General features: G+C 39.2%; 1 protein-coding gene and 1 pseudogene across 14 annotated transcripts in view; one reads left to right on the top strand and one right to left on the bottom strand.

Annotated features, from left to right (window-relative positions):
- HHLA2 (HHLA2 member of B7 family) overlaps positions 1–20,965 on the bottom strand; it is an 81,738-nt gene that overhangs the window by 47,528 nt on the left and 13,245 nt on the right. For 7 of the 14 annotated variants that reach the window (XM_047447369.1, XM_011512362.3, XM_005247080.4 and 4 more), the window contains exons 2-3: positions 20,017–20,103; positions 2,411–2,488 (exon numbers count right to left, since the gene is read on the bottom strand). The exons of 1 other annotated variant lie outside the window; for it this stretch is intronic. Coding sequence is in view for 1 of the 13 variants with exons in the window: in NM_001282559.2 (NP_001269488.1) it covers positions 2,411–2,454 (44 nt within the window). In the remaining 12 variants the exon portion in view is untranslated. Of the gene's footprint in view, positions 1–2,410; positions 2,489–18,923; positions 18,974–20,016; positions 20,104–20,965 lie in introns of those variants that run through there. 6 more of the 14 variants (XM_011512363.3, NM_001370244.1, NM_007072.4 and 3 more) reach the window with 3 other exon arrangements.
- Positions 3,944–5,250, top strand: HNRNPA1P17 (heterogeneous nuclear ribonucleoprotein A1 pseudogene 17; annotated as a pseudogene).

Raw genomic sequence — 20,965 nt, 5'->3', positions numbered from 1 at the left:
CCGTCCAGCTGTCAGCCAGGGTTCCAGTCTCATCTGAGGCTTGGGATCCCCTTCCAAGCTCACTTGTTGTTGGCAGAATTCAGTTCCTTGCAGCGGTAGCACTGAGGCCCTCAGACCCTAGAGACACCCACCATTTCACATCATCCCAGTTTCTTTCTTCAAGGCCATCAGGGGCCACTGCTTTAAGTCTTTGAGTCTCTGCTAAAGGACTCACTGGACTTGGTCAGGGCCACCCAAATAATCTCTTTTGTGGTTAACTCAAAAATCTATTGCTATTGCTAATTGTATCTGCAAAATTCCTTTACCTTTGTTATGAAAGGTAACCGTATTAAAGCAGTGACTATCCAATCATATTCACAGGTGCAGCCCACATTAAAAGGGAGAGAATTACATAGTGTGTACATTGGGGGCAAGAATCTTGGGGGCCACCTTAGAGTTCTGCCTGCAGTGGTCCTACCACAGCCTCTGATTATCACTTCCTGGTATCCAGACTCTTGTATAGTCCTTTCCCACACTGTACCAGGGCTGGTCTGTATAACCAATAGAATACAGCAGAAATTATGATATGTCACTTCTGATATGAGGTTATAAAAGACACTGTGGCTTCCATTTTGGTTTCTTTCACTCTCTGATCACTCACTCTTGAAGAGATCAGCTGCTGTGCTGTGTGAATGGCCCCACAGAGAGCCCATATGGCAAGGCACTGAATCCTCCCACCAGCAGCCACATGAATGAGTTTGGAAGCATTTTCTCCAGCTCCTTCAGATGATGGACACCCTGGGCAATATCTTAACTGCAACCCCATTAAAGACCCTGAGTCAGAATGACCCAGCTAAGCTGCTCCCAGATTCCTGTCCCTCAGAAACTGAGATGATAAATGTTTGTCTTAAGATGCTAATTTTTAGAGTAATATGTTATGCAGTAGTAGATTGTTCATAAATACCTGACCCAGGGCTGACTAATCTAGGAAGAGTGAAAGATGCCTGTGTCCCTCTTCCATAGCAATACGGGAGAAGCACAGGTGCAGCAGAAGTTAACACGCCCACAAAGAGAGGGGCAGACATCGAGAGTGGTTGATGATGCAAGATCAGCAGTGGTAATTTTTCAGCCTCTGGACCGGACCCAGTCAGTTGTGAATTAGTGCCATGCCTGTTCCCAGTATCATGAGCCAATACATTCCTCCACTCCCCTTTAAGTTCAGAATCTTTGAAGTATATTTAGACCCGCTGAAAACATTTTGGGTCTCTGTCCAACTCCAGCAAGCACAAATTTATACCAATATGCAATGCAGTCAAGCCAAAGACAGTAATTTGTGCTGCCCACCCCTCCCCTACTTTGATGCCTCTGATTAGGCTTCAATCTGATTTCTGTCATTTGCAACCAAGAGTTTTGACTCATAAAACCCCCTATAGGATCAGTTTCACGACTCAGTCAGGACGTTTCTTTTTTTAGGGGCTCTTTTCCTCCAAGGCCATGTTGGCTGATCCTGAATCACATGTTAGGTCATGCTTTTCAGGTTTCCTGGAAAGTAAGTTCTGTTTACTTGTACTTCTAAGAAAGCTCCTGTGGCACTTTCTTACAGGGAAGTCTTAACATGCTGAGAACATAGCAATTTGACTAAATGATCTACATTTATTCCAGGGTAAATTTCCTCTATAGTGTGTGGCTTTTTGCATCCTAACTTAGCTAATCAAACACTCTCTGGGTACTGAGCCAACTGTTCATGCTGAAGCAGCCTGAGCAGTCATTGTGGAGAGAAACACAATCAACAAATCCCACGCATGAATCCAGCACAAACTCTGATTCTAAGATGTAATTTCTTCATACTTGCTGCTCTCAGTGCAAAAGAGTCTTTAGAGACCCCATACTTAATCCACAATTCCGCCTCCTCCCAATTCTGAACTGCAGCAATGAGTGAACACAAATTGAGATCTTTCCTGGCATGTTCCCTTCCCTATATAACAACTACTACTGCAATTTTCTCCTGAACACCCCAGCACCACTATCAAAGTAGCACATAGATAATGCAGTTTAAAATTTATAGTCATAAGACAAAGTAAAAAACGCCACTCCTAACTGCCCTCCCCCATAATTCCAAAATTTACCATTTCTCAGAATAATATAGTGTGCAAAGTCTAAATTCACCTCAACAGCATCATCTCTTACTACTTGGATTCAAAGCCCAGGTCTATTTAAAGCTGTGTACTGTTGTCCAAGTTACCTAACTCCTTTTTGCCTCAGTTTCACATCTAGTAACAGGGATAATAATATTCACCTCCAAATCACTGTTATAAGAATTATGTTAATAATATTTGCAAAGCAATTAAAATGTTTCCTGGTCATGCAGTAATTTTCAAATAAATAGCTGCACAGATAATACTGGAACCTCATTGTATATCTCCCTACTTACCAGAGGAGGTGCGTTCTAGGCTTTAGTATATTCCACATCACCATCACAATCTGTGCAGGGTTAGTATTCTCCTACATGCTGTGTGGATAAAATTAGATTAAGGTGATTCCAGAGTATCAATGCCCCAGATGACCAGTAAAATAAAAACAAATTCCCTTTGGAAGAAAATATTATACCAAACTGAAAATTACTTCTACAACTTTTTTTTTTTCTTCGAGACAGAGTCTCATTCTGTTGCCCAGGCTGGAGTGCAGTGGCATGATCTCAGCTCACTGCAGCCTCCGCCTCCCGGGTTCAAGTGATTCTCCTGCCTCAGCCTCCCAAGTAGCTGGGACTACAGACACCCATCACCAGACCCTGCTAATTTTTGTATTTTTAGTAGGGACAGGGTTTCACCACGTTGGCCAGGCTGGTCTCGAACTCCTGACTTCAGGTGATCTACCCACCTCAGCCTCCCAAAGTGCTGGGATTACAGCATGAGCCACCATGCCCAGCCTCTACAACATTTTTGCAAATACAATGACACACAGTAAAAAATAGCCAGGCACTCAGAGACAAGAAAACAATCAAACAGATAACTGAAAATAAAACTCGCATGCACTTCAGATGTTAGTTTTTAGATATAGAATTTAACCATACTTTTTTTGTTCAAAGAGACAAGACAAGATAGAGAATTTTGGCAGAGAGCTGAAAACCATGATAAAGAACCAAACAGAAACTACAAGAACTGGGAAATAAGTGAAATTAGCAACAATAGATTGATTTAACAGCTGACTAGACAGTTAAAGAGAACCAGTACCCTGGATATTGATCTGTAAGAAAGTATTCAGAATGAAGCAAAGAGAAACAAAAGGATGGAACATTAGAAAGAAAGATGAGAAACAGAGGACACAGTGAGAAAGCATAAGTGAAATCCTAGGAAAAAGAAAGGAGAATGTGTAGGAATTATTTGAAGAAATAATGAAGGACAATTTTCCAAAACTGAAAGACATTAATTCACAGATTCAAGAAGCCCTATAAACCTCAAACAAGATAAACAACCAGGTACCTCACCAAAAATGTTAAAAACCAAAGAGAAAGTAACTTTTAAAGCAGTCAGAAGGCACAACAAAAAAGGCAGGTTGCCTTCAAAAGAGCAACAATTAGGCAAATACCTGACTTTTAAACACAGGTAATAGAAGCCAAAGATGAGAGAAAAATTTATTCTAAGTGATCAAAGAAAAGGACTTCCAACCCAAAATTGCAACCCCCAAATTATAACTTCCAACCCAAAATTGTAGCAAAAATATTTCAAGAATAAAGTGAAATAATTCTCAGACACAGAAAACATAATTTGAAGCCAGTAGAACTGCACTAAGTGAAATACTACAGGCATGTTTTTCAGGCAGAAGGAAAATGATACCAGGTGGAAGCTCAAATTCAGGAAGGGATGAAGAGCTATGAATATAGGGCAAATTTAAATAAGTAGACTAGCTTTCTCCCCATGGATGCTGCTGCAGAAGCATCATTAAAGTCTCTCTTTCCATAGCAGCCATGTCTAAGTCAGAGTCTCCTAAAAAGCCTGAACAGCTGCAGAAGCTTTTCATCACATGGTTGATCTTTGAAATAACTGATGAGGGTTTCTACAGCCATTTTGAGCAGTGAGAACTCTTATGGACTGTGTAGTAATGAGAGACTCAAACACCAAGCACTCCAGGGGTTTTGGGTTGTCCCATATGTCACCATGGAGGTAGATATAGCCATGAATGCAAAGCCATCTTATATGATTTGGCTGTATCCCCACCCAAATTTTATCTTGAATTGTAGCTCCCATAATTCCTACATGTTATGGAAGGGACTCAGTGGGAGATAATTGATTCATGGGGGCAGTTTTCCCCATACAGTTCTCATGGTAGTGAATAAGTCTTAGGAGATCTGATGGTTTTGTAAAGGGAAACTCCTTTTGCTTGGTTCTCATTTGTTCTTTGCTTGCTGCCATGTAAGATGTGCCTTTCACTTTCTGCCATGATTGTGACACCTCCCCAGCCACGTGGAACTGTAAGTCCATTAAACCTCTTTTCCTTTATAAATTACCCAGTCTTGAGTATGTCTTTATCAGTGGCATCAAATTGGACGAATACACCATACAAGGTGGATGGAAGAGTTGTGGAACCAAACAGAGCTGTCTCAAATGAAGAACTTCAGAGACCAGGTAACCACTTAAATGTGAAAAAGATTGTAGTGGCATTAAAAAAAAGACACCGAAGACCATCACCTAAGAAATAATTTTGAACAGTATGGAAAATTAAAGTGACTGAAATCATGACTGACTGAGGCAGTGGCAAGAAGAGGGGCTTTGCTTTCATAACTTTTGATGACCATGACTCCCTGGATAATACTGTCATTCAGAAATACCATCCTGTGAATGGCCACAATCATGAAATAAGGAAAGCCTTATTGAAGCAAGAGATGGCTAGTGCTTCATCCAGCCAAAGAGGTCAAAGTAGTTCTAGAGATGTGAGTGGTGGTCGTGGAGGTAGTTTTGGTAGGAATGACAACTTTGGTAGTAGAGGAAACTTCAATGGTTGTGGTGGCTTTGGTGGCAGCCGTGGTGATCGTAGATATGGTGGCTGCGGGCACGGCTATAATGGATTTGGTAGATAGAAACAATTTTGAAGGTAGAGAAAGCTATAACGATTTTTGGCAATTACAATAATCAATCTTCAAATTTTGGGCCTACGAAGGGAGGGAACTTTGGAGGCAGAAACTCTAGTTCCTATGGTGGGGGAGGCCAATACTTTGCCAAACTACAAAACCAAGATGGCTATGATGGTTCCAGTAGCAATAGTAGCAGAAGGTTTTAATTACTGCCAGGAAGCAAAGCTTAACAGGAGAGGAGAGCCAGAGAAGTGACAGGGGAGGTACAGGTTACAACAGATTTGTGAATTCAGCCAAGCACAGTGGTGGCAAGGCCTACCTGCTACAAAGATGACACATTTAAGACAATACTCATATGCATGGGCAAAAAACTGAAGAACTATATTTGTGACTAATTGCATTAGAGGTTATTTTAGTTTCTGTTTGTGGAACGTTTAAAGCATTCCATCAAAGGGTTTTAACATAGTTTTTTTTTGTTTTTTGCACCCATGCTGTTTATTTCTAAATGTAATAGTCTGGTCATGACACTGAATAAATGTCTTTCTAAAAAATAAATGAGACTAATGACAATAATAAGATTTTAAATATATAAATTTTAAACATAAATAAAACACACTGACATTCATATTTTAAATACAGATTAAAGACAGAATTAAAGTACCTAATAATGGCTTAAGACTTTAGAAGGGGCTAAAAAAAAGTGAGATGTCTGAAAGGAATATAGAATCTTTTCATTGCCCATGAAAAGTATAAAATACCAATTAATGTAAGGTTTTAAGAACCAATGAAGTATATCATAATTTGGTGGTTCACAAGTAAAAGAACTATAGAATGCATAACTTCTAAAGAGGTAGGGGGAGAAACAGAATTACAAATTTGCAGCAAGGCCCAGAAAGAAGGAAAAATTTAGAGCATATAAAAGCCCTAGAATAGATGAGATGAATAGAAAGCACGGAGTAAGTCAGACACAAAATAACTCCTACTGTATGATTTGAATTACCTGACATTCTGAAAACAGGCAAAACTTAACTGTACTGTTTAAGGATGTACACCTAGGTATAACACTAAAGAAAAGCAAGGACAGGATTACCATAGAAGCTAGAAGCTAGAAAGTATTTTCCTTTGACAGAGACAGAGAAGGTAGTGACTTGGAGGGGACATGAAGGAGCCTTGTGAAAGCCTAGGAGTGCTTGATTGCCTGGCAAACCAGGTGGTTATCTTGTGGGCTTTTGTTTTGTGTTGATTCATTTAGCTATGTTTTGTGCACTTCTCTGTATTTATTCTATTTTCACAAAAATATTAAAAGTATAAGGAAGATCTAAATGTGCTGATACAGTCAAATCTTCAGAAATGTACAGTTAATAAAATAAGGCATGGAACAGCAAAAATGCTCTTGTTATATGAAAAAAGCTTACATATTCATATATATGCTTGTATTCACATAAATAATTTCTCAAAACGTATGTAATAATAAATTTAATGTAGTCCACTGCCTCTGAGAGGGGAGACTAGGACTCTGGTATTTATGAGAAGGGGCTAATTTTTATCTGTATGCTTTTACTGTGAAAATAACCTTTGAATTACATTTAATAATAAATAGATTCACCAACCTGTGAATTAACTATTAAGACAAAGTAGGGTTACCATTTGATGAAATCATTGTTTTCTAACAAAGGAGTGCATTTTGAAATCTTAAGTCTGGCATTTTTAACCAAAAATTGTAAATCACTGCTAAATTTGTTCAAAAGATGGGTTGAATTTTCACAAGCAATAAGAAAAGAAAAGTGGCTTTTATTTTAAATGGATACCCATGAAGTGATTATCTTTCAATTTCCCTTACATAAGTGGAGTGGAGATAGGTATAGATAATTCATTTTCATTTCAGTTCCCTTCTAGAACATTGTGATGTTTTCCATCTGCATTACAATAGAGCACTACTAAAAAATGGAAGCAAATTTAGGGTAAACCAAATGGCTAAATGTGAGAATCTGCCACAAATCATGAAATTGTCCTTTAGGCTTTTAGTTATATGAACAAGTAGTTTAGACCAGAATCCAATAATATGAATAATCTCAGTTGTCAAAGCAATTAGAACATAGTACGGATTTCAGGGAAATCCATTTACTAAATAAATGAGAAAAGCACCCATTGTTGACAAGGTGTGAAGAGATGAGCCCACTCAGGATTTCTGGGTAAAGACAGCAGCTTAAATACATGTTTATAATTTTGTTTCTTATCTCCTTAACTCAATAAAAATTTAGGGAAGGGATTTTTCTTTTCAAATTTTTTAAATTTTTATGGGTACACAGTAGGTATATATATTTATGGGGTACATGAGAAGTTTTGATACAGGCATGCATGTGAAATAAGCACATCATGGAGAATAGGGGTATCCATCCCCTCAAGCAATTATCCTTTGAGTTAAAAACAATCCAATTATACTCTTTCAGTTACTTAAAATTGTACAATTAAGTTATTGACTATAGCCGCCCTGTTGTGTTACCAAATAGTAGGTCTTATTCATTCTTTCTATTCCATTAACCATCCCCACCTCACTGCCCCCCAACCACAGACCCCCCCACTATGGGAAGGATTGTTTTTGTTTTTTAAGAAATGGATAAAGCAGAAAAAGAGGTGAGGTCAAAACAAACAAACAAACAAACAAAAAAGTCAGCAAAAATTTGGAAACTAGAGAAAAATGGGCAAGTAGTAACTGACTTAGTAAACCCAAGAAAATGAATCTGTAGTTAATGGGAAAATGTGAAAGTCCACCAACTTGTACCATATAGTACTCAAAAGACATAGGAACTGCTTTGGAACTGGTAATGGAAAAAAAAGAAAAAGACTAAGATAAGAAAACCTCATAGGAAAGCTATTTCTTACAGCCATCCAATGCAGGTGGGATGAACCCCTCCCAATTAATAGGTGAGACGTCCTGACTGATGACGCCATGTACACACCAAGAGGTGAGAACACATTGTATTACATCATGGAACTTTCTAAACATAGTGGGACAACACCCAGGCTAGTCTGGAATGAGCTTGAGAACGTTTCGAAAGCAAGAATGAGAATAAGTAGACTTGGTTTTTATCATAGATAGGCGGTTGGATGAGGGAAAATCCACTCCCCCACATAGGTTGAACTTTCTGCTGTGTCCAGGGGGCAGCACCAGCTTTCTTACCAACTTGCTCAAATATGAGGCAGAAGAGGAAAGAGGAGGTGGGCATGAAAGCTCTCAGCAGTCAAAGATAAAAATGGAGTCAGACTCTTAAACGATTTAAGAAGTTAAACCCCCTAGATTCTCTCCTGCACTCCACTTTACTGAACAATTGCCCCTTTCTTTGGAGAAATCCATGGAGAAACAAAGCATAATAATGTCTGAATTGATGGTCCAGGCACAGATTAGAGTTAAGGTAGAGGTTAAGACTAATTTATCAAACAGATATCTAATGCTGAACACAGAGACCCAGCCTGTATCACCCTCCAGTGACTTCCGCCTGAGAGGCATGGCCCACAGTCCGAGCTCTTAGAGCCTCCAATAAGCTTCCCTCATTCTTAATGTTAAGCAGACATTGAGGGATTACCAGATACCCTGAGGAAAGCTGTCACAGAAGACAGAAATAAATGAAACCAACCTCCCTTACAAAAAGACATCCTGGAGTAAATAAAAATATGCAAGCAAGCGAGGGTGAAAATCAACAAAAACAAATGAAATAAAACTATAACTAACATCTTCAGAGAGATAAGAAAAAGTTACATTCATAAAAAAGGAACAGAATGGCATAAGAAATTAACAGAAAAGACATCTTGGAATTGAGAACATAAGAGCAGAAGTCATTAACAGGGTTAGAAAATAAAGTAGAGACTGTCTCCTAGACAGTAAATAGACACAGAGGCAGAAAATAAGCAAAAAAGATTTTTAAAATCAGGTGACAACTCTAAAAAATCTAGAGAAAAAGAGAAAACAGGAAACAGGGTAGAAAACAAAAGTATTTAAGAAAATTTTCCAGAATAATAAATGAATTGCTATTACTGAAAAAAAGCTTACTGAATAAAAGTGGTGGATGAAAGCATTCACACAAAGATACTCCATTTTGAAATTTCAGAAAACTAGGGAAAAAGAAGAGTCCATCAACTTCCAGGAGAAAAAAGCTAATAGAAAGGGCCAGGAATCATAGTGGCTTCAGACTTTGCAACAGCATGACTTGCCAGCAAAAAGAAAACGCAACCACATCCAGAATTCTAAAGAAAAATTACTTGTAACTTGCAAGTATGGTCAAACTCCCAAACGGGAGGGCAGAATGACATTTTCAGACATGCACTATCTCAAAAACAAAATAAATGTATTACCCATCCTCTCTTTTCAAGAAGCTATGGGAAAATGTGCTCCACCAAAATAAGAGTATAAACCAATAAAGACGACAACGTGATACAGAAAATTAGTTCAAAATAGAAGAGGAGTCAAGGGATTCCTAGGAGGATGGTGAACAGACATTCCAAAATGCTAGCTGGAATCTGGACCAGACTGGAGAGGAGTGAGTCTAAATGGACATGCCTCTGCCTGTTAGAACCATGATCCCCACTGCTTTGGCACAGTCTTTTTTTTTTTTTTTTTTTTTAAACACCTGGAGAAATGTTCTGGTGAGACTGGCCCGGATACGAATCTAGTGATCTTGACAATTTGCTAATAAATTCCTTATTCTTTCTTCCAGGTCCTGCTGCCTAAATCAACTGTGGACATTTATTCATTCTGCCAAAGTGTTCTGTTATCACTGACTTCTGCGAGCTGGAACAAGCTTAGCAGCAAGAAACCCAGGGTAATTCATGCCACTCCCACTGATCACGTGGTTAGTACCTGCTTTGCATTACAGTCCTTGCAAATGTATGGACTGTGGTGAGCTTCATGGTCTCTCCCTCTGAATATACCAGAAAGCCCCCTTATAAAGTCCCAGGATGCAGAAGACTGCAAGTTCATCTTGTCCTAGACAACTTTACCTAACAGCGGTGACCATACCCTCCTCACACAACTAGCTTTGTATTTGCCGCCCACATTTAAAAAATCTATATAATATTTAGGACTACAAATAGTTATATATACACACACACTCTATCATTTAACTATGAAAACTATGAAGAAAACCAAGGGAATGCATAACCCTAAATTCTAGATGATTTACCTGTGAAGAGGGGAGGCATGAAGAAGTATGATGAGAATCAGCAAATGCAGGAGGATTCTATTAGGTTGGTGCAAAAGTAATCGTGGTCTTTGCCATTAAAAGTCATGACAAAAACCGCAATTGCTTTTGCACCAACTTAATAAATTCTATTTCATAACCTTGGTGGAGGATTCAAGGGTTAGGTTTTTTTCTGTTGTTCTTTGGACTGTACATTTTACACATAATTTCACATGCAGAAAATAAAAGGAAAAGAAATAAGCCTACTCATATAGAAATGGTTCAAGTGTAAATTGGAACAAACTTCCTGGCTGACTTCTTGGCAACAAATATCAAAAACCTTAAAATTGGCCATGCTTTTTAAGCCAATAATTCTTCTAGGAAATAGTCTATGAAAAGTTGGACACTGCAAAGTATACAGATTTGCTAAATCAGAAACAGTGAAAACTTAGGAGCCCAAAATAACCTATCTTGCAGAATTTATTAAAATAAGTGGGATATTCATGCAATTGACCATTATGCAGTCATGACATGCTGTTGTTTACTGTCATGGGTAAAGTCGACATTATACTGAAATTTATTTCAAATATGCATAGGCTATGTGATATGTACATGCATGCACGGGGCGAATCTGCTCCACAGGGATGGTTAGTTGATATCTGAAGAATCCTATTCAGAGCAAGCACTCCACAAATCTGTGCTTTAGAAGCAGCTACTGCAAGTGCTTCAATGAGAACTAACTCCATCAGTATCGGGTTTGCTAACTAGCAAAAGAGATACTCAAAATATTTTATTGTTGGAAAAATGTACAAGCACATCTGCTCTTGCATTAATAGGAGTATGATAGAAACCGCAAGAGCAGTTAGCACTAGAATATTTTAGTGTCTGCCTCTAGTAAACTTGTCATGAAAGGAACTTCAAGTACCTAAAAGAAACGAGCTTGGCACATCACCAAGTTTTGCAAGAACAGGTTTTGTGACTCTTTATGGTCACTTGGTAAATGTGTGTGTGTGTATTATTTTGGGTTCTTCAGAGAAGCAGATGCCAAGACAGAATTATTGCAGAAGATTTATTGGTAGAATATTCAAGAAGGACAAGGAGAAGGAGCTGAAGAAGGCAAGAAGAAGCTTAAGATCATAATAAAGTTCTAACACTTGAAAAGAGTCGAGGAAGGAAGGAAGATCAAGTGGGAAGAGTCTCAGATTAGAGTGGGGTTCCAAGAAAGCTTCAGCCTGACCAATGGAGAAGTTGTATGCCAAAGTCATATGACTCTATTTTCCTTCTTTAAGTCAAGTACATGATGTGGTGTGAGAAAAAAAAAAAAGTATTTTACTAGCTATCACTATGGTTTCTTTTAGGGTCTTTGCCTCTTTCCCACCCAGGCCCTCATATTCTGAACTATCTCATCAAGGCATGTTCCTAAGGTACCATAAATAAGAAATAAACAGGAATTTCGGATGTGGGAAGGAGAGAAGAGAGAAGGAACAGAGAAAGAGCATAGGAACAAGGTAGTCAGTGGCCAAAGAACTTAGAGCTACCTTGTGAGTGATATTGTATGTGTTTGGGGAGAATGGAGCTATTTGCGAAGTGGAGAAAAGGAAATAGCTACAAAATGAAAGAAATGAGATGTCATAACCAATGTTGACAAAGAGACAAAGATAAATATGAATCTCTGGGGAATTCCAGGAATCTTGGAGAATGCACTTCCATATGGTGTAGGATGGAAGTAAAGCTGATCTAAAGTAGGTTGTAAGAAGCAGGATCAACACAACTTATAGCTTAAAGACAGACACAGGCAAAATATATGTGGGTAGGAAAATATTTGACAGCATGAGTAAAATGTTAGTATTGTTTCTTTACATGATAGAGTTGTGATTTTTTTTTCTTCTCCATTTTCTAATTTTTCCTCAATGAACATGAATTAGTATAATACGAAGAAAAAGATGTTGGGGGAAAAGGAAAATAATTTGGGTGATTTTTTATTTCCAGGAATTAGACTGAGCATTAGCTAAGTGCAGGCATTGTTTTCAGCATAGTTTCCAATATAACTGGTGAATTATAAGAGAACTCCATAGAGAAGGTCAGTTTACCCTGTAACCCATGGATGGATGCACTTTGCAGCTAATGCATCCTGGTAGACATATTTAGGAGACCATGTTTGTCAAAGTGGAATTTTTAGTTAGGATTTTATCCATGGCCATTGATGATGACTGGCTATACCCTCCATGAAAAGTTATTGTCTAGAACCATTCTATTCTGCTTTATAGTGAGGTCTGAAGAAAAATATTGCTCCATAAGGACCAAATTCAAAATTGGCTACAGTCAAAGCTAATATTGAATTTTTTTTTTTTTTTTTGAGATGGAGTCTCACTCTGTCACCCAGGCTGGAGTGCAGTGGCATGATCTCAGCTCACTGCAACCTCAGCCTCCTTGGTTCAAGTGATTCTCCTGCCTCAGCCTCCTGAGTAGCTGGGATTACAGGCATGTGCCACCACGCCTGACTAATTTTTTATTTTTAGTACAGACAGGGTTTCTCCATGTTGGTGAGGCTGGTCTCGAATTCCCGACCTCAGGTGATCTGCCTGCCTCAGCCTCCCAAGGTGCTGGGATTATAGGTGTGAGCCACCATGCCCGACAATATTTTCTTTAATAAGTAATCTCCCAGGCTGGGTGCGATGGCTCACGCCTGTAATTCCAGCACTTTGGGAGGCTGAGGCGGGCGGATCACAAGGTCAGGAGTTCAAGGCCAGCCTGACCAACATGGTGAAACCTTGTCTCTACTAAAAATACAAAAATTAGCCAGCTGTGGTGGTGCGTGCCTGTGATCCCAGCTACTTGGGAGGCTGAGGCAGGAGAATCGCTTGAACCTAGGAGGCAGAGGTTGCAGTGAGCCAAGAACGTGCCACTGCACTCCAGCCTGGGCAACAGAGTGAGACTCCATCTCAAAAAAAAAAAAAAAAGAAGTAATCTCCCTACTATCCTAGGCTACCTCACCCTCTTACAGATTTGATTAATCAGGATTCTATTAGTAAACTTACATCCTGCCTATGTAAAATAATAAAGTACCAACCTCAAGGGCTGGGACATCCAGATGTTCCCTTCTTCCCTCACTGCTGCTCAGTCCTCCACTTGCCTGCTTAATTTCTAAAGCCTACATAGCCATCTTTAATCAGCAACAGCTGGGACTTTAGACCACCCTACTAGAGGATAGTGAAGAATGTGTCTATACTTTAAAAAAATCCTGGTTAGAAATGTCACAGAGATCCTAGTTGCACACCGTATATCCACTTCTACAGATTCGTTAAACTCTACCCTTGGATTAAGCTGGATCACAGGAAGAATATGTGCTGTCACTGGCCACAGTGTCTTTCTATAAAGACAAAAGGTTCCCCTTCTTCCAGGTAGACCCTGCCTCCTACCATGGTACATGCTTTGGTGAGAGGAACCAGGACTGGATTGCAATTTCTATTTACCCCATGAGCCTAGTACACTGTTCAATCTGGATAACTGTCCACAACAGCCATGATTTTTGTGCTTAGAAGACATTAACTTAGTCCCATGAAGAAATCCTGTCACTAAGTCATGCTTCACCTCTAAACTTTTTCTATCCTCCTATCTCTCCAGCCATATTTATTGAGGGTCTTAGTGGACCAATGTTCACAGCTTTTTGGATTTCATGGACCAGTTAAATTCCTAAAGAAAATGGTTTTCGTGAACTGACATAGGGTTGCCAAATTTTATTTGGAAAAAAAAATAGGGCCTAAAGCGTGCGATTTAGTAAGCATAGTAATTTCAAAATAAAAGCCAATATTTCTGGAGAAATAAAAGCTGTTTACCTAAATCCACATTTTTTCTTTGATAAAGTAAAGCTTAATCAGTGCATTGGGATGTGGTTGACCTAGCTGTAACTGTCTCCCTTTCCAGCATCCTCTGGGCCCTTCTCTTCCAAGGTACACCAGTTGTCTGCAGGTTCTCCAGCCTACCCCATCACTTCTCTTGGTCTCTGAACCTGGGTGATGCCTTTTAATCTTTCAGGTCTTAGACTGGGGAGTCAAGGAAGGATTCTAAGCCAGAGACATTTAAGCAAATTTAGGAACTCTTACTTTTCCATAAATGATACAAAAGCTAAGCATAATTAGTTATATATCGATAGATTTAATATTTATCATGCCTACTATACTGTGAGCTTCATGAGAATAGCATTCATGTCTATGTAGTTTTGCCTCTGGCACCTGACCCAGTATCTGGCCACCTTAGTACTTGTTTTTAACCAGAGGAACTTCTTCCCTTCTTTCTGAATATTAAAGATTTTATAATTTGTTTCTCACTTTGCCCTGTTTCCAAGAATCTTAGACACAGGATTATACTTTATCACAGCAACTGTGTTGACTTTTCCGGCTGGAATATTTACTCTTTCCTCTTTCATCTTTTTTTTTCATTTTTTTTTTTTTTACTGTTTGTCATAAGCTGTTCTAAGCTGTTTCAAATTTCAGAAACATGTAGGGTGTAAATAAATAAATAAAAGCCTTATAATGCAATAGCTCACCTGTTCCTGAAATAAAATGCTGACATTTCAAATGTTCCTTATTGTAAAGGTTAGATGACTAAATATATTCCTCTTCTGCTACCTTAGATTACCCAAATAAACATCCAGCACATATAAACCACACAAATAGACCAGGCTTGTGAAGGAGGTAGCTTTAAGGGCCAGGTAGATGTTTGAAAAATCAAGATAAAAGAAAACGCAAGGTATAGCATTCTAGTTTAAAAACAAACAAACAACCATAAGAAAACTACCACATATACTTCTATTTATGCTTATTATATGCCCTTTTAAAATACCAAGAGAAGCCAGCTGCCAGCTGGGGTGCTTTCCAAAAATTTTGAACAAGCATCACGACTCTATTCTCCCATGAGGCTTATATAGGTCTGCTCTTAACATTCTAAATGGATTAGAGTAGCTATCTCTAGTTTGGTAAATAATACTTAAAACTGGGCCAAACATCAATCAAGCTTCAAATTCTGATTATTTTCTAATAAAGAGGATTTAGCACAAAATATACAGAAGGCAACATATCCTAATTGGCTTAATGACGCCTTTAAGACATATATCACATGCAATGATAGGGTAGTTGCTCTGAGAAAGTATACTGACATGGATCCTGGACACACGTTTAAGCTATAAGAGACTGTAATTCCCATTCTATGGAACAGGATCCATCTTGGTCATATCTGAGGGTTCTCTGATAGCTGAAGTTCTTGTCTCCAAAGCTGCAAGTCTCAATCAGCATGCACAGCACTTTTATGGAATATCCAGGGCTCAGCTCTGAACTTAAGGCTCTTCTAAGGGCAGAGAGGCAAGAGGATGCACCCCTGGCACACACTTGCTGAGCCCCCTTGAATTTAATTCCACAGGGTGAGAGCCTCTGATAAAATGCTTAACGTGGGTACAAAAGCACCATTTCCCACCCATCTGGGAAAATAAGGGTGTTTGTTCTACTGAAGAGCTGAAAATAAATTTTGGCCCGGAGCTTGATATCTTGCTTAGTAGGACAGCAAACTTTCTATTCAGATAAGTAGGGGAAAAAATCCCAATTCAGAGTGGCAGGCTTCTTTGACAGTGGTGACACCTGAGCCTTGGGGTCAACCCAGTGGGTGTTTCAGCAGGAAGCAGTGAGAGCATGGGCTCTGGAGTCAGGCTTGGCTGTGACTTATAGCTCCAAAATTTACAAGTGAGATGACTTATAATATGATAATCTTTAAACTGTTTCCTTCCTTGTGAAATGGAGGTTCAAGGTGGCAGTGGATAAAAATAATGTATTTCATCCACACATCAATCGATGAAGTAAAATGTCTGGCTCTATAATAGGTACACAAATATTCGTTCACAGCCTACCGCCCTCTCCTCACCTTCCCGTCTTCTCAGCTTTCCTTTTGACCGGGGAGGTTGCAGGTGACATGGAGAGAGGAGCCATGGTGTGGCCAGGCCCAGCCTCAAGGTATCTGGGGTCAGGAAAACCCCTCCCCATCCCTGCCAATCTTCCTCACTGCCCAACAATATTCTTATCCTATTTAAAAATTGGGAAGCAATGAATTTCAATAACTTCAAGAAAAGATTCAAAAGGGGAAGGAATCCACAAAATGGAAAAAAGGCCAGCCTAAGGATGTAGGAGTAGGAATTTTTTTTTTTTTTTTAAGAGACAGTATAGGGCCATGGATTTGCTTTGCTCCTGCTGACAAGATTAAGTGCTCACAAGAATATGGAATGCAGTGCTACAGTTGTTCCCCCAATCTCCTCCATCTCTTTCTCCTTTGACCTCTTTCTCTGTATCAAGTATTCATAGGCACAAATCTTAGTACAACAGATTGCCAGCTTGCTAGTGTTTGTGTGCACAAAGATAAAAAAAAATCAATCTGAACTCCACACAGCAGAAGTAAAGGTATATACAATTATGCGACATCACGGTGTGTACTAGAGTTAATGCTAGGAATGATGGAACTCAGAAGAGAAAGTGATACCTCCTCTGTAAATTGATCATAGTCCCCAAAGATAATTAAATAGTGCATTTTAAATTAAGAAGGACTTAGTTGGGGTCTGGAGACAAAAAGGAGGGGTCTGATGAAGTCATCATAACCCTGAAAGATGTATGCTCGGAGTTCAGTTCCTGAACACTCTTAGCTTCGATTTCCACGCTAGTAAGTTAGGACTGACTTGCCCAAGGTCACAGAGGTTAATGTCTATGTGGCAAAGAGTCAGACCTTACTCCATATCCAGTCTTTTCACTACCCCATGGATATAACTACAGGTAGGGTCCATACAGGACACCTGTTGTGCAGGACTTCAACCTACTTAGTCCACCTCTTACTCCAGCCACATTGTAGCAGTCAGTTCTGTGAAGGTTTTAACCGGCAGCTACAGGGGCAGTCAGTGGCATTTTGCCTTGGTGCTGCACCACTGCCCAAAGAGCTCTGAAGCAGAGATTGAGAGCACCACAGGAATCCTCTCAGCACCCCCACAACACATGCACACACAACCCAGAAAGAGAGGAGGTAATATCCGTGGGGGCCCTGGAGAGGATGAATAAATGCTCCCACTCCTTGCCCTTGTTGAGTGGTTCTGAAACATATTTACTAATGTTCTCCAGAAAATCCCCCGGGATTAAGCATAGTTCCCAATGGTTGGGATCCAATCAGTAACACATCTGTGTTGACCTTCCCTCACTGCTGGTTTCACTCCCCCGAATCACAATCCTGCTCGTTGGTACAAGACTACCCACACCAGCCTTTTTCCAAAATAAAGAATTGTGCATGACTCAAGCCTGAGAAAAACTGTCTTTATATAATTATCTCACAGAATATATATTTCTAGTCTTAAAACAGACTTGCATTTCTAACTACCCCACAGGTATTGATACTCTTGAAAACTCTTGGAATGCCATATTACACTGGTCAGAAGTACAGTATCATCCTTTTGCCATGAAAACTAGCCTCTCCAGACCTTAATTTTGGCAAGGCACCACTTTTCTCCTTAATTTCAAAATGTTGAGTCCTCCCACAACTGTTCGTTCCTCAAGAATGTTCAGCTGTTGTGTTTTTTTAGTTTCATCATCACTACATTGAAGCTCTGTTCACAACCTCCATTTCACCATCTCACCAGATTAAACAGATTTTCTCCATTCCCTCTGTAAAATATACTCTTAGTTCAGGTTCCCTTGAGGCAGAGCCAGAAATGGTGATTATCATGCAGTGGAATTACTGAGGGTGAGCTTTCAGGAGAAAATTGTAAGGAATCAAGGAAGTAGGACAGAGAAAGGGAAGAAGCCAAGCAAAAAATGAGCTTGGCTGAGGTCTGGTCTCTATCTCATAGCATCAGGAGCACTGGAACCTGAGTGGCACCACAGACTTGCTCACCCTTGCTGCAAGGGGCCAGCTTGTCCTCAAATCAGCCTGTCATTGGGCATGGGCCACCCCCGGGGAAACATCATAGCTTCCCAGGCATCTCTGGGCAAAGGTAAATCTCTGGAAGAGTGTATACAAAGGCCATTAGCAGCCAGCACTCACAGCAGCTGGAGTTTGGGTGCACCTGCCTAGAAAAGGGGATCTGGGCAGGACATCAACAGGCCCTACTGTTCATACTTTTCCCTGTCCCTTGACATAGCTAGTAGTCTGCAAGGTCCAGCCAGGGAGCAGAAACACCACAGGTTTTTGATAAAGAAGAAATTTATTATCTTACAGAAAATTGGCCACATGGGTGATGGCTGGGAAGCAATAGGGGTGAGTGAGGCAATCCAGAAATTAGCAGTAACAAGAAGCTGCTATAACCCATAAGGCTGGAGGGATAACAGAAGAAGGAACTGGTGAGAGTCTGGACCGTCTGGGGGGATTAGAGCCACTAAGAGGATGCAGAAGAGAGGCAGCCTCTGGCAGGACACCTCAGGAAGTAAGAATGGTGAATGGGGGGAACGTGGCTTCTTCCCTCCCCTCTCCTCCAGCCCTCCCGTTTTCCGCCTGTGCCTGCCATTGGCTGGACATACACAGAAGCCAGAGGGAAAGGCAGTCTGGGAAATGTGGTTTCTTGCAATGTGGCACATAGCAGAGTGAGGAAGGGCAGAAAAGAGAACAAGAACTGATAAGCAGACACTGACACACCGCTGCAGTACATCTGCACAATTCTGTTCATACCAAGTGAGTTATATACTTACCAAAACAGCTGTGTTTTGTCCATTTTCTCTGCTATGATGTAGAGTAAACTAGTTTGGGGACATAGACATCTCTTGAGATTAAAATAGAAGTAATCAAATCTATGTCAGGCCCTAGTTACTGCAATCAAATGTGTATATACCATGTATGATTTCTCTAGCTCAGTTTCTAGTTCTCAACTATGGAAAAGACCAACCTTGAAAGCTACACTCCTTTCTTGTGCCCAATACCCAATCTTAAATCTAGAAAAAGGGATAAGCTTTTTCTAGAGCTTGGCTCTAGAAAAGTTGGAGGATTTTTGAAGGTAGTATCAAGAATGCAGCTCCATTTCATTCATAATTTTGGCACAGACTGATTTACCATGATGCTCCTCTCACTTGAATTTCCATTTTCTCCTTCTTATATCTGGGTAAATAATACTTAATGTTTGATATTACTTGATGTTTTCAAAATGTTAGCCATCACTTTAAATATTTCACTGTGCACTAAATAACATAAGTAAGCATTAAACATAGGTCCAAATTTAGTTGGCATATTTACATGTGTCTTTGATTATTATTTGCAAAGTTGTGTCAGTACTTGGGATTACTCAAGAGGCAGTTTAGACCAAGGCCATCCCAAGGGGCTTAACAAAATGATTACAGGCTTATTAGAAAACACAGAAAGACAAGCTTCCCAGGTGTTGTTCTCTACTACTTGCAAATCACACCGCTGATAAAAGACCATAGGTTTGTTATGAGTAGAACAATTTCCTAAGTACATATGCTAGATACAGACACATACCCCTATTTACACTTGGTAAAGTGAGAAACAACAGATTTCTGTAAATGTTCTTAATTCTATATTTCTTTAAAACAACATGGAAGGTCTATAAGTTACAACCCTCTACCAGATTTATAGTGCATTTTGGTGAATGGTAATACTATTTCTTGTGCAAGAAATAGTATTTTTGTGTAGGAATATCTGCATACATTTGCCAAAACTTCATTTGTGCTAAAGATGATGACTGAATATGTCTTTTAAATGTTGTATTAAAATTTTTCTGTTCAAGGAATTTATACACATAGAGTAAAATATAGTATAGCAAATACTCACCTCTTCCCCAAATCCAATTCTTGATGGTCTCTCAAGCTTTCAAATCAGCCTTGAGATGTACCACAAGGGCATCCAGTTCTATATGTGCTGAGATGAGAAATCAAATCCATAATCATAACAAACAAGCAAATTTATTCTCACTGCCAATGTGGATGTGGGATGCAGTTCATTTTCAGTGATTAATGACTTGTGAGAATCAGAATTCAGATCATTATACTATGAACATTTCTCTTGATAATCCAAATGAATTACTCTGACTTGCCAAGAAATTTCAAAAAAATTAACAATTAAGCCAGCTGATTTTTTCCAATAAGAGGGGAACAATATGTCATTAATCTCTACAGAATATGATGGATGAAAATAACACAAATATATTAACAGGTATTTTTGATGAATTTTGAATTCTTTGGGTATGTTTCCCCTGAAGGTAATATGTAAAATGTATAATTGCTTTTTATTCATGTAAGACTTGTTTTTCCTATAAATATCAAAACTGGGACTAATATAACATCTTTTATTAATTTAGCCTAATTTCTCTCTGGAAAAATATATTTTCTCTGATCTAGATAAATATAAGCGGTATAAGAATACAAATTTGGGGAGTCATGAGGAGGAGAAAGAAAGTGCTAATTTTTAAAAAGTAGGGGTATGTCAAAAGGACACAGGCATCAACTTTAAAGAGCCTGTAATGACCAAAGCAGCTAGAAATTTTAAGCAGCAAAATAAATTATAATATTAGATTATAACCCAAAGAATAAAAAATCCATGTAATATAAATAATCCACTAATGTGCATAAATGGTTGAATACATAACTTTTTTCCATACCAAATAATTTCAAATAATATATATAAACATACTACCCTCCTCCAAGAGGTGGGCAGCTTAATTTCCCTCCCCTTGAGTGTGGGCTGGATTTAGTCATTCAGTTCCAACAACCAGAGCATGGGG

Source organism: Homo sapiens, chromosome 3 (genome assembly GCF_000001405.40).
Source record: "Homo sapiens chromosome 3, GRCh38.p14 Primary Assembly".
Lineage (NCBI taxonomy): Eukaryota > Metazoa > Chordata > Mammalia > Primates > Hominidae > Homo > Homo sapiens.
The sequence above is the reverse complement of the archived record's forward strand: the minus strand, read 5'-3'. Positions and strand labels throughout refer to the sequence as shown.